General features: G+C 38.0%; 1 protein-coding gene across 1 annotated transcript in view; it reads right to left on the reverse strand.

Annotated features, from left to right (window-relative positions):
• MID1 (midline 1) overlaps positions 1–11,743 on the reverse strand; it is a 388,374-nt gene extending 376,631 nt beyond the window's left edge. The window contains exon 1 of the mRNA NM_033290.4: positions 11,614–11,743. The gene's annotated coding sequence lies outside the window, so the exon portion shown is untranslated. The remainder of the gene's footprint in view (positions 1–11,613) is intronic.

Genomic DNA, 13,756 nt, shown 5'->3' on the forward strand with positions numbered 1-13,756 from the left:
AAGCAGTAGGTTTTTGTTGCTTTGGGACCTCCCTTCCTCTAACATCTCTTGCTGATCTTTTTTTTCTCATTTTTTTTTCTTTTCTTTTCTCCCCTGACCTCTCTGGTCTTCCACTTATCTTGTAAATTATTATACTTGATCTTAAAAAATTATGGCATTTTCGCAGTAACCAAAACAGCATGGTACTTGTACAAAAACAGACACATAGAGCAATGGAACAGAATAGAGAACTCAGAAGTAAGGCCACACACCTGCAATCATCTGATCTTTGACAAACCTGACAAAAACAAACAATGCGGAAAGGATTTTCTATTTAATAAATGGTGCTGGGAGAACTGGCTAGCCATATGCAGAGAACTGAAACTGGACCCCTTCCTTATACCTTATACAAAAATCAACTCAAGATGGATTAAAGACTTAAATGTAAATCCCAAAACTATAAAAACTCTAGAAGAAAATCTAGGCAATACCATTCAGGAAATAGGCACAGGCAAAGATTTCATGATGAAGATGACAAAAGCAATTGCAACAAAAGCAAAAATTGACAAATGACATCTAATTAAAGAGCTTCTGCACAGAAAAAGAAACTATCATCAGAGTGAATAGACAGCCTACAGAATAAGATAAAATTTTTTCACTCTGTCCATCCTACAAAGGTCTAATATCTAGAGTCTACAAGGAACTTAAACAAATTTACAAGAAAAAAACAAAGTAAGCAAAGGACATGAATGGACACTTCTCAAAAGAAGACATACATGCAGCCAACAAACATATGAAAAAAAGCTCAACATCACTGATCAAGAGAGAAATGCATATTAAAACCATAATGAGATATCATCTCATGCCAGTCAGAATGGCAACTATTAAACAGTCAAAGAACAACAGATGCTGGCGAGGTTGTAGAGAAAAAGGAAGACTTTTACACTGTTGGTAGGAGTGTAAATTAGTTCAACCATCGTGGAAGACAGTGTGGCAATTCCTCAAAGATCTAGAGGCAGAAATACCATTTGAGTCAGCAATTCCATTACTGGGTATATAACCAAAGGAATATAAATAATTCTGTTATAAAGATACATGCACACTTATGTTCATTGCAGCACTATTCACAATAGCAAAGACATGGAATCAACCCAAATGCCCATCAATGATAGACTGGATAAAGAAAATGTGGTGCATATACACCATGGAATACTATGCAGCCATAAAAAGGAATGAGATCATGTCCTTTGCAGGGACATGGATGGAGCTGGAAGCCATTATCCTCAGCAAACTAATTCAGGAACAGAAAACCAAACACTGCATGTTCTCGCTTATACATGCTAACTGAATGATGAGAACACATGGACACATTATGGGGGAACGACACACACTGGGGCCTGTTGGGGAGGTGGGGGGATGGAGAGCATCAAGAAGAATAGCTAATGCATGCTGGGCTTAATACCTAGGTGATGGGTTGATCTGTGTAGCAAACCATCACGGCACATGTTTACCTATGTAACAAATCTGCACATCCTGCACATGTACCCCTGAACTTCAAATAAAAGTTAAAGATTAAAAAGAAGTATGACATTTTATTTTCTTATATCTTTCATCTAACTTCAAAAAAAGTAAAAAATAATTAAAGCTTACCCTCCTTAAAATAGAAAAACGTTCAAATGGACACATACAGTTGCATGTGTGTGTGTATGTGTGCGTGTGTATAATACATATATAATATATATAAATAAAATGTACATAGAAATGTATATAAATATGAACAGTGTTGCTTTATCATTGATAGTGACCCCAGTAAATAAAACAAGAACTGGTTGTACTAACACCAATACATGGAAATAATCTACTAGAACTACACAAGCCATGAAATGGTCTTGGAAGCGACAATACAGATTAATTCTTTTATTTTGGAATATAGCAATATGCACATTTCATTGGACTCATTAGTATTATGTATTTAAATTTAAATTTAACATTGATCAATAGCAATAAATTATATACAACACACACACATATACACAACATATTATTTTATTCACAGAAGGCAGGTCATTTATAAATAAACTTTTGCATAGTCTAAAACTCATATATTGATTTATGCTACCAAAATACAGCCTGGGTAAGCAGAGAAACAAATAAACCAAATAGACAAATATATATAAAATAGGCTGTTTTAGAGATAACACAGGACAGATTTTATTAACTAATTTATGACTTACAGTCTGTTGGCAGAAGCCTTCCTTCTCCCTAATTTCAGTCTTTCTGAACAGGAAAAACAGACCAGAAGGCTTGATGGTGTGCAAAGCTCACATCTTTATCTCTGCAAGAGCTTTATTTGGGGGTCTGGAAACAGAAATTCTCACCATTTTTCATTGATTGTAATGTTTGATATGTTTTCTCTTTGCTGGGACCTTCACTCTGGATCATTCTGCCAGGTTCCTTCATTATCTTCAAACTATTGGCAAATGATTTATTGGCAGTAACTATATTCATGGACAAGGTGAACTCATTTTCTGGCTTGACACTGTAGCCCTCCCTTCCTTCTATTGCACTGTGACTCCAAAAACACCCAGGCTTGCAGCAATTACTACTGCACATACTAATCAGAAGTTTCTATGAAGTGCTCCTGCTTTGAACTCAGCAAAGCCACAGCCAAGTGGGTCCTTATGAAATGAAAATGGCAGTCCCTTTGGGACATACTATTCCGATTTAAAATGGACTTTTAAAAAATTGCACTTCTGTCTTGAAATCCATTTGTGCTAACATGGGTCATGTAGAGGAAAAATTACGAAGGCAGGGAAAGTAGTGGAAAGAGAAAGGTCTTTACATGGCTAGGACTTTTTTTTTTCAGATAACAGCTTCCACTCCACTTCCATCCTCATCCCTCCCATACACCCAAATCCCAATCTGGGTGCATACAGTAAAATCTTAAATATGCACACTGAGAAGCAAGTGCAATCTAGTTATCTGAAAGTTCATACAAACGCTTCTCAATCTTCCACCCAAACATTACACAAGTGAAATGACAAAATGGGTTGCCTCCCACTCTCTCCCACACGTTTTTCTATAGGAACATAAGTGTTTAGATAACTGAATAGGATCTTGATGGGAAATTTAAGCTTCTTAAGAATTCAGTGAAAGATAAATGTGGTTTTATTAATACATACATACGCCCAAACCGTAGACATACAGTTCAGTTCTAAAATAAAGAGACTTACATAATGTGTGCCAAGAACAAAGGGAAAGACAAGGAACAAGGCAAGAAGATATAAATTTTGGTAATGACTTAGATCCTATAATGCAACACCTGCACAAAGGGAAGCTAATACCTTGATTCCACAAGGTTTAACCTCCTCCTCCCCCTCACCTGCCCATTCCAAGGTTTTCCTAACCCTATGGCTGCAGCTTTCACTGCCTAATGACTCCCCTTAATGGGAGAATATTTGGAAGCCAGAAAGGAATTCGCTGAGGTCACTCAAGGGTAGTGGAATTACACATGTCATATAAAATGCTCTTGCTAAATTGATGCTAGAAAAACGGAATGGCAAAACCTTCACCCAAACCCTACTGGGAACGTGAAGTTAATGGAGTGTGCTCATCTGTTAGTGCAAACTCTCGGGTTACAATTTTCTAAATCCTATAGTCCTCTTAGAAATGATAAGGGATCTCAGCTGAGAAAAGCAATGTAGCTTATTCCTATTTGGGATCCCTTAATCCAGGTTGAGGGGAGGGGGTAAGGGGGTTGGAATGAAATAGAAAGAATTCGCCAGACAACTGAAGTTAATAGCTGTCCTGTACATTATCAACAAGGAGAAAACTTCACTTAGGTAAACTTACAGAGATCTTGGCTGTCAAGACCCTCATATCCCACCCCAGGAAGTTATTGAAAATAGCTCTTCTCCCTCCAGGCTTTACTGCTGATGAATTTGTGGGTTATAATGGTAACTCACATGTAGGGCATTTGACCATGTATGAAGTGATTTTCATTCACGTAGACCTCATTTGATTGTTCCAAAAATTCTTGAGGTGAGTGTTTATGACCTAATTTTTAAAGATGGGGAAGATGAGATTCAGAGAAACTTAGCATCACACAGCTACTAAATGGATGAGCTAAGACTTGAACCCACACCATGACTTTCCACCTCAAAGCTCATGCATTTTTCCACTCAATCAGGTTACTCCCTTCCACCAAACCAGGCCAACTTTCATTGTCCCCTACACCACTATCCTTCTAGATATGTGAATCAAATTCCTGAGAGTCTGTTTTTACACCTAGTCCCTCATGATCTCCCTTGCCCCATGCATCATCCACTCCTTTCGATTTCACCTCTCTAAAATAGAAATGAAATCCATCCACTTCTCTTCATCTCTACCACCACGATATTAGTACAAGCAGATATTATTTTTGCTTTCCAAGGCTCCTGTTTGGTTCACCTACGTTGACTCTGATGGCCCTCCAATCTGCTCTACTATTTTGATGCAAAAGTAATCATGGTTTTTGTAATTACTTTTAACTGCAAAAACCGCGATTACTTTTGCAACAACCTAATATTTTCCAGGTTGCTGCCAATGTGAACTTTTCAAAAGACCAATGTCATCCCTTGCTGAAAACTCCCTCATAGAGTCTGGCCATTTCCTACCCCTGAAAACACACTGCCTCAAGTCCTTTCTGTCCAGCTCTCAGCTCAAGCAATCCTTTCTCAGGGAAATTTTCTCTGCCTTTCTCTGTAGCAGATCAGCTACATCCTCTTAGTACAATCACATGGCAACATATACCTCCATTTTATAGCTTTTATTCCAGGTGAACCTTTACTCATGTCTGTGTGATATTTCATCAATGTTTGTCTCCTACACTTGACTGTTATTTACTTGAATGCAGGTTCCACTTTAGCCTTAGCACACAGGATGATGCCTGGTTCAGAGAAAGCATTTGACAAATATTATTGAACAAATGTAAAGCTTCTCTTTCTTCTTTTTCTCTTTTTCCTGCCCTCTCTCCATTCCTCTACTCTCATCCTTATCCCTTTCCTTGTCCCATCTTCATGGGACTTTGCTCTCTTACTTAGTCTTAATTGGAAAGAAATCCATGACAAAGCAGTAAATATGGCAACTACAAATGTTGTTCTCCCTAAAGTCATTTGATTTCAACTAGGAGACTCTTGATGCCTTAAAAGACAACAAAATCATTCTCTAATGCTGATGTTTTAGTCATTCTCATGAGATGGGGAAGATACACCCTATTTCATGAGTTCTCTGGGGAAATTCTTTCCCAGTTTAACCCAGCCGATATTGGGAGGTATCTTACATTTGTTGCTGCTCAGGCTGCAGTTGTGATATAATTGTCAATGCCTGCCCATGAACTCTCTTGATCATAGTAGTTCTTACTGTTGTCAGTTCATTTGAGCTACAGGCATTATTTTAAAACAAGCCTTGCCTGTTAGGAGAAGAGAAGTTGCACACCTGGTAAAACCACTCAAAGAAAAAGGAAGGAGGAAAGATTCCTGCTCCCCCCGTCCCCCCCACCCCGCCCACCAGCCAGAGAGAGAGAGAGAGAGAGAGAGATTGAGAGAGAGATCCTCTCAAGGCTCAGGTGGTACTGGGGCAGAAAGTTGTCCGGACAGATACCCAGGAGACTATGGACCCCACCAAGCGCGCTGGTTCTTAATGCATTTGTAGGCATATGTTTAAAGTGTTAAATAATTAGCTCACTGAGATGTGTAGTGACTTGATGGGCATTCCTTGGGTTATGAATGGACAACTGCATTCTCTTGTAGGCCCATTTGTGGAAAGAATATAGTCTTGATCATCACCTTCTAGTAGAAATGCAGAGAAAGAAGCTCTTTATTTAAAAATGCTGCATTTTGGCCCAAAGTATGTCGGCACGGTGCAGAAAAGCACAGATACAACGACTCAGTTGAAAAGTTAAGGCTTCTTAAAAGTTTATCTCACCTATATCTTCCATTTTATTTATGCACAGGGGGAGACATATGATTTTTAAATAATCAGTCTAAATAATAGTCAGCCAATAACTCTCTGTTAGAGAGTTATTTCTATCTAAAAGAGAATAACTCTCTGTTAGAGAGTTATTTCAATAAATTTAGCATAAAATATTTAAATGCTAAGAAAACATTGTGTTATAGATTAATTGGAAGAATTTTTTCTTTCTTAGCGTTGAATCTTATAATCGATCATATATGAGATTCAATAAAAATAAGTCAGAAGTAGGGAGCCATTTGATCTACGCTTTGATAAAGCTGCCCTGCTTCCTCATTACACAAACACCATATGGCCCCCACTTGCCTTAGCAAAGAGTGAACTCTTGCCAAGATATGTTAGCGCATGGGATACATTCTCTCCACATCTTGGACGCCACATCAGATTAAATGTTACATTCTGCTGGGGTAGGGTGTTGGTGGATGGGGAATTAGAGAAAGAGACTGGGGTCTGAGGGTAATCTAGGGGGGCAAGTGGCTTTTACCAATGAATTTGCTAGCCCAGCTCCTCCCGCCATTGCTGGTGAAAAAGATTTCAAGCTGTTAAATTAATAAGTATGAAGTGAGTATTTTTTTGCTTTATAAAATACGGTACTTTTGAGAAAACACCTTAAAAGGGGGAAATCTACATTGAGAAGACGTAGATTGCTAGAGAAGAAAGAAGTCTTTAGAGCAAGGGTGTCAAACACAAAAACCTACAAGGGACAAACAGGTAACACCAATAAACAGAGGACATGGTGTAAGACATTAGAAGGTATATCATGCTTCACTGAAACACAAATTTTAAATCATTGAGTGGGCAAAATTACATAAGGGCCACCAGTGTGCATCTGCTTCTACTTCTTCAACCCCTGAATTGTTTACTTGACGATGTGCCTAACTTATCCCCACCCATTTCAGATCCAGCCAATATTTACTGATTGGCCTCATGCCCAGCATTGTGCCAGGTACGTTCACAGACATGACCATTTTCAATACTCATAACCGTCCAATGAAGTGTGTATTTATGTCTCCATCGATAGATGAGGAAATTGAATCCCTGAGAAGTTTAAAATGTCTTGGCCAAACCCACCATTCATTGCTCTGGAAGAAACTTGGGAAACACTACCATTCTTTTGTTTCTTAACATTGAGCCAAGGATATCAGTTCGAGTAAACTTGTTATCTGTTCTCTGGTAGTTTATATGCTGTTTTGTTCCCCCAAGGCAATACATGATGAGTGTGTCAGTACAGATATAAATAACTGCACAATTAGATACTCAGGGGGAGAAATAATTTTGGTTAAAATAATCAAGGCCTCTGTTGCAGAACAATAGCTATAAATAATTCAGCCTTTTCTGGCTCAGGCTCTTTGACCAAAATTCCAATTCTGTCACGTGTTAAAACTCAAACTGTCAATTTGAGGAGGCTCTGCTTAATTTCATTTTTGTCTCAAGTTTAGACAAGTGAAGAGCAACTCACAAGAGAGTGTGAGTATACTCAACTCACACACAGTTAGAACCATTCTTTATGCAGCTTCAGCTATTATGTACCATGCATTTCTGAAAATGCTATATTCCCCAAAGCACAGCAATCCATTTTTATTTTCTTTTAAAATAAAAATAACATTAAATGAACCATTGACATTAATATTTATAGTAACTCAATGTCTTTGAAAGGTTCATTCACAGAAGATTCCCTTATATGTGATTGCAAGCAATTAATTTAAAAACGGAAATGTACTTTTACATTTAACTAGAAGTCATAGTCCTGACTATCACCTCACCAGCTAACCTTTCCTCAAATATAAATATATTTTAAATTGGTTTTACTAATGCCCTAGGTACTTGGAAAATCCTACTGGTGCAAACTCATTATTAATTCATAGTCCCCAATTCTAAGCCTTACAGGTATGACCTTAGAAGTAATGGCAGCTGCTCTTGCCTACTTTATAAGAATTGTTACCGAAACTTGTACGCTAATAATTTCCAGTGATTACAAGCCATTATAAAAGCTCTCAAGTTACCTAGTACTATGGAAATAGCTCTTCTCCATGTGGCACCCCAGGAATACTTGACAACCCCAAAGAGAGTGGTTTTGAAAATTACATTAACAAAATATAAACTGGCATCATCCAACTCTCAGTTATTTATAGATGCTCTGCAGGGAGAATCAAGTGGTCCTTCCTCTATAAGCACACCAAGTTTATTGGCATCTACCTGGCATTATCTGACATGGAGATCATCTGGTCAGTGAAAGCATGAATATCTTGACGTATCAGTTACTTGTTCATTGCCCACCAGTGTTTTGTGGCCACCAGTTGGGAAGCTCTGATTTAGAGAACGATTAGCAAAAGAGTGAGTGATCAAGTAAGTTTGCAGCAAATCATGTTTCACATCTTGCACCATTCAGGTAATGAGATTTCTCTTTGCAGAAATGCTATCCATTGCATGAAGACTTGGTTTAAATTCATCTGTCTCTTATATACCCATTTTTCCTCCAGAGTACTTAGCATAGGACTTCAAAAGGCACTCAATAAATATTTGCTGAATGAATGTAACAGGAATTAATAATGCAAAAAATGTTTTTGAAAGATAATCGATGTCAAATGGTAGGCAGAGGAAGCCAGAGAAAGTTCACCAGTGATAGAAATGCTGTGTACAAATTTGGTACAGTGCCCAAGAAAAGGATTTGAATTTAACAAATAACCTTTAAAGCCAGGTTCTTTTATGTCCATCGCCCCTGGACTAAGCCATATTAGTGGTGGGAGAATCCCAGCCAAACAAACCCTGATAGCAGTTTGAGAAAGGGAAGTATAAGCAATAACCAAATGTTAGAAAGGATTCCATGAAGCACTTTGCCATCAGTTGTTCAGGAAACTTCTAAGAATAGAATAGCACACACACATACACACATTATAGAACACATCATTAAATTCTTTATAAAATAAAGAGGACAAACTGGATAACATGTAGAGGGCCTTAACACTCTCATGATTGCATGAGCCCCCAGGCCCAAGTTAATACAGTGTTGGGGTATTTTGACTGGTTTGATCAATATTCTGGGCCTAGATTGTCAAAGGCAGTTTCCTAACTTTAGCACATCATGACAGAGAAATTGATGCAATCTGCACCATATATGGAGGTAAACTGATGAAGCTATGTGATCCAGAAATAACCTTCCAGGGATCAGCTCAGGCCAGCCACAGCCTGATGGCCCATGTGCCAAGAGGGGTTAACAGCTGGGTATGTCTGCAACCCACTCATCATTTACCAGTGCTCTGAGGTCCATCCATTGAGAAGCTTTGTTTTAAAGAATGTTTCTCAAAATGATCAGCCTAGAAATGAGCCATCAAGTAAGTTTGCAGCAAACCATACTTCATATGGTGCACACTATACTTCTCTCAGGGAGTCAAAACACGTATTAATAAATGAACATATTAAGGCTCTGAGAAGACCTATTTCCCATTGTTTGTTTGTTTTTGTCCAGTATTTTCCAACCTCTTTTAACCAGGGCACCTACTAACATCTTGCAGATCTACGGAGGCTGCCGATTGGTTAAACCCTCCATGCAAGCACGCAGTACTGTGACTTGAAAAGGGTCAATGCAACAATATAGGTCCTAACTGTCTTTAATTGGAGGATTAGTTCAGACACTGGAAAAACTTTAATCTTTAAGAAGGAATCCTCCTGGAACTTTGTTAATACTAAAGTGTTAAATACCATAAACAATATTATTACCCCCAAACAGGCTGCTGAGGAGCCGGGGATGAGTAGATTCTAGCCGTGAGACTCCCAGTAATCTGCAGTAATTCATATGCCACTGGCAAGGATAATTCTAAACATGAGATCCAAAAACCCTATGCATACACCGCCCCCTTGCCCTCCTTACCCCAGGAGACTTATCTGTCTTTCTGGTTATATATTCCCTTGGCTGTTAGTGTAATTAGTGTATAATAACTATGTACATATCAACTCACAGGAAAAACGGCAGACGTGCTGGCTGATTTGGCTTGGGGCCATCTCATCAGCAGGGTGAGAAAACCTGGTATTAAACCATCTGTTATTAACTGTATATTCTAAAACAGTGTTTTGTGTCTCCTGGGTTGCTGACTCCCATCGACAGCAACAGAATGTCAAGACTCATATTTTTCTGAGCAGCACTGAAAAGATAAACTTTAAAACATTTGCATTGTCCCTTCTGTTCTGCGGCTTGTGCTATTAAGAATTTTATTTACTAAAGTGTCTATTGTATTATACACGGTGCTTTTCTATGTTTCATTCTCACAGAGGTGAACAAGTTTCATTTAAACTGTGTCCTTGCGAAAGTTATGCTTTCTAGAGTCAAAGATCCTAGAGAAAATTGGCCATAGCTTTTGTCCTTATGACTAGGCAGTTGCCAATGCCTGTTTGAAATCAATAGTCTCACTAGGGAATGGACTATGACTTGCATTTTTTAAAAACGTGGTCATTTTCTCAAATCTCCTTGTTTGCACTGATTACTTTTCTTTAAATTAACTTAAGCAATTAATTTCATAATATCAGAAATCTGAAATTGAGTCTTTGTGCCACTTGTTGCAGTCAGTAGCACAAACCTGCTCCCAAAACTCAGGATAAAGTCTGTATATGACAGAAAACAACAGTATTCCTTTGAAAGACGAGCAGTCAAATCATTCAACACAATTATCCAAGTTAATTCAACTCAAAAAACCACATCACCATGAAAAAATAAAAATAAATTTTTTTACCTGATTCCAAATCACTTTTGACAGCTATAAAAAATTGACTTTCTTTGCAAAAGTTTTACCTATGCCCCAGAACTCAGCTGAAACATTTTTTTTCCTTTCCCAGTTGTCTCTTACAATTGGCTGTTCCCAAGTATAATTAAAATTTCCCTGCAAGTCTGTTAAACACTTTCACATTTCCATGTTTAATTACATTCAGATTGAGATTTTTGTACACATATAGAATATAGCCAGATTTTAACTCAATTGACCACAATACCTTTGACATAAAGCCTTTATTCACCGTTCTCGCCATATATATAAATAGACATACGCTCCTTGTCAAAACGCAAGAGCGAGTTTCTTTACATTGTCTAGAACAAAGAGGCCAGCTCGGCTTCTATTTTTCCTCAGTGTCTCAGAAGGTGTCCTTTATTACATATGCAGGATGCAAGGATTTTGCTGCTGCGTGAATGAAAAATGATACCTTCAGACTGCCTTTTTAGTGACAAATTACGCTTTTGCAGAATATCACACTGCCTGTGGTTTTAAAAACCCCATTTAGATTTACTATCACTTCCTTGGGGACTCAGCCTTCCTCACAAAGCACCCCAAGGCTAATTTCCACTGTTTTAGAGTGTAACAAAGATGAGAAAGTTTGCTCATCACGACAGTATAGAAACGCTTGCCTAGGAAAAACACTCTCTGGAATGTCTAAAGTGCTAAAAATCATTGCCTCTGTGGATTTTCGGTGTGCAAAACAGGCAGAAAAAGTTGTCTGGAGGTATTCGCAAAGCATTGTATTTGTTCAGGAAGGAGCTGTGGGGTTAGAGGCTGAGCAACGCCTCTTACTTTGCTTCCTGGGTGAGAGCAGACAGGCGTGCCACTTAGCAGAAGCAAGCAGAGAGAGAGTGGTAAGACTCACCAGCTTCCCCATTTTTCCCAGGATGGGGGTTTTTGTTCCTCAGTTCTGATCTGGAAGAGACAAACCTGTAGGTCCTTCAAGCAGGCTGGGCTGGGGCAAGTGCCGGCTCTTTGCCTCGGATCAGCTGAATGGCTGGGGCGTTCAGGAAGCTTGCTCTGTCCAGCTCGGAATCACTCCCCCTCTCCAGGGTGTGTGCTTACACGCCTCTCAGTCAGCGCAAAAATCCGCCAAACTCAGGTCAGCCTAACAGGTTTCCTTATATAGGTAAACATGAATTGCATTCCTGGTGAAAGAAGTTAACTAGGAATCCTGGTAACCTGGTTAACTCTATACACACCAGAATGGCTCAGAGTTGATCAGCCTGCGTAGGGGTTTGGTTGCAGTACAAAGGGATTTGTGCAATTTAATTAAAATCATCTTTATCCTGGCAGTCTGTAAAATTGGCCCTTGTAGTGTGACTGTGAGTCAACAGTTAGTATTTTATATCATGGGCTGTGACCAGCCTCATATTATCTGAAGGCATTGTAGGGGAAAAAAGTGTAACATTTTATAAGTTGTCTTTCATGTTTTTAAAACCAGGGTAATTGAACTTGAGATTATTTTCAAAGAAGTGAATAGAACATGTGACAGAAAGAGAATGTGAATAAACCTCCATCAAATAAGGCTCAAATCCTTATTTGAGCATAGTAACGAATAGTTATTCAACTTTCCCAGGCCTTTGGTAGATAATGCAATACAATCATTTTGCGTTTTCTCCCTTTACAATGCAGTAATTGCTACTGTATTTTTTGATGGGCAAAATGACAGATAATGACATCTATTCCAATAACAACCCTCCTAAGCCCACATGCTGATGTGTTATTTGATGGTTTCAGGAAAGAAATCTAAGACTTGCGAATTTGCATACTTGTATGTAAACATTTTTAAACAACTTCCTCGATTTAAGAAGATAAGAAAATATATCTTCAAAAGAACTCTATAGCTCTTCCCCTTACATTTTATCTACTACTTAGTAAAGTAATAATTTTAAAAAATTCTAGCCAATTCCACTGAAGACAATATGGAGACTTGAGACTTTCCTGTGTACTAGAGATGAAGATTGTCTGCTAAAAAGGACCTATCTCAAAATGAAACACTTGTTTTTATTTCATCCATGGGTTGACTGCTCCTTGAGTAGTGACAACCTTATTAAAAACAGCTCAAGGCTGTTTTAGGTCTCTGTTTAGGACAGGCGAGATAATGAATCTTCTGATGCCACCTAAGTGAGCACCAACACAAACCAATGTCAAAAAGTTTCTGCCGAGATGAGTAAGGAACAAAAATTGCACTGCCAGGAAGGGTAACTATTTTTGAATAGCAATTTCCACTGGGAAAAACTTTTGCATACAATTTCTCTTCTTATCTCTGCAGGAACACTGTGAAGTGTGTAGTATTTCCTCTTCACAATAATAAAGTTGGCTTACAGAGATAAAGTGATTGGTCCAAAGTCTCATGATCAGTTTTTGGCAAATCCAAAACCCCAGATAAAGAATTTAACTCCAATAGCATTTCCCAAAATAGAATCAACTTTAAGAGACAGAAGAACATTAAAATGGCAATTTTCCATTTTCAAATATAATTTTTAATAATCATATGTCCAGAGAATTTAAATGCAATATACAAACTTATTAAAATACTTTTTATAAAGTCATAACTTACTGTTAACATGACTCCCTTTAAATGTCTCCAGAAAGATCATAAAATGAGATAGAGAGTGTATTTTTATTGAATATAAATTTGGGTTATAAAATATTATGAAAATATAACTTGGCAAATATTGCACACATTTTTCTGTTCACAGTACTCACATCTCTATTGTATCAAGTTAAGATTCATCCTGATTCCTCCACTGGAAGGAATATCAGTGTTTTCTACTTACTGGGTTTTCATTAATCTTAAATGAAACTCTGTACCATGCTAGGTAAATGGCTTTCACTAATATAGTCCATTTATGATCTGCACTCTTTGTGTCCTCATAATTCCCACTGAAGTAAGTTCTGTTTATGTAGAAACTTTAGACTTTATTAACAGGTTGTTGCAAGACAAAGAATGCATTTTTTTTTCCCAGGGCAGGCTAAACCTCTAAATGCCTTAAGCTGGCCTC

This window comes from Homo sapiens, chromosome X (genome assembly GCF_000001405.40).
Source record: "Homo sapiens chromosome X, GRCh38.p14 Primary Assembly".
In the NCBI taxonomy this organism is placed as follows: Eukaryota; Metazoa; Chordata; class Mammalia; order Primates; family Hominidae; genus Homo; species Homo sapiens.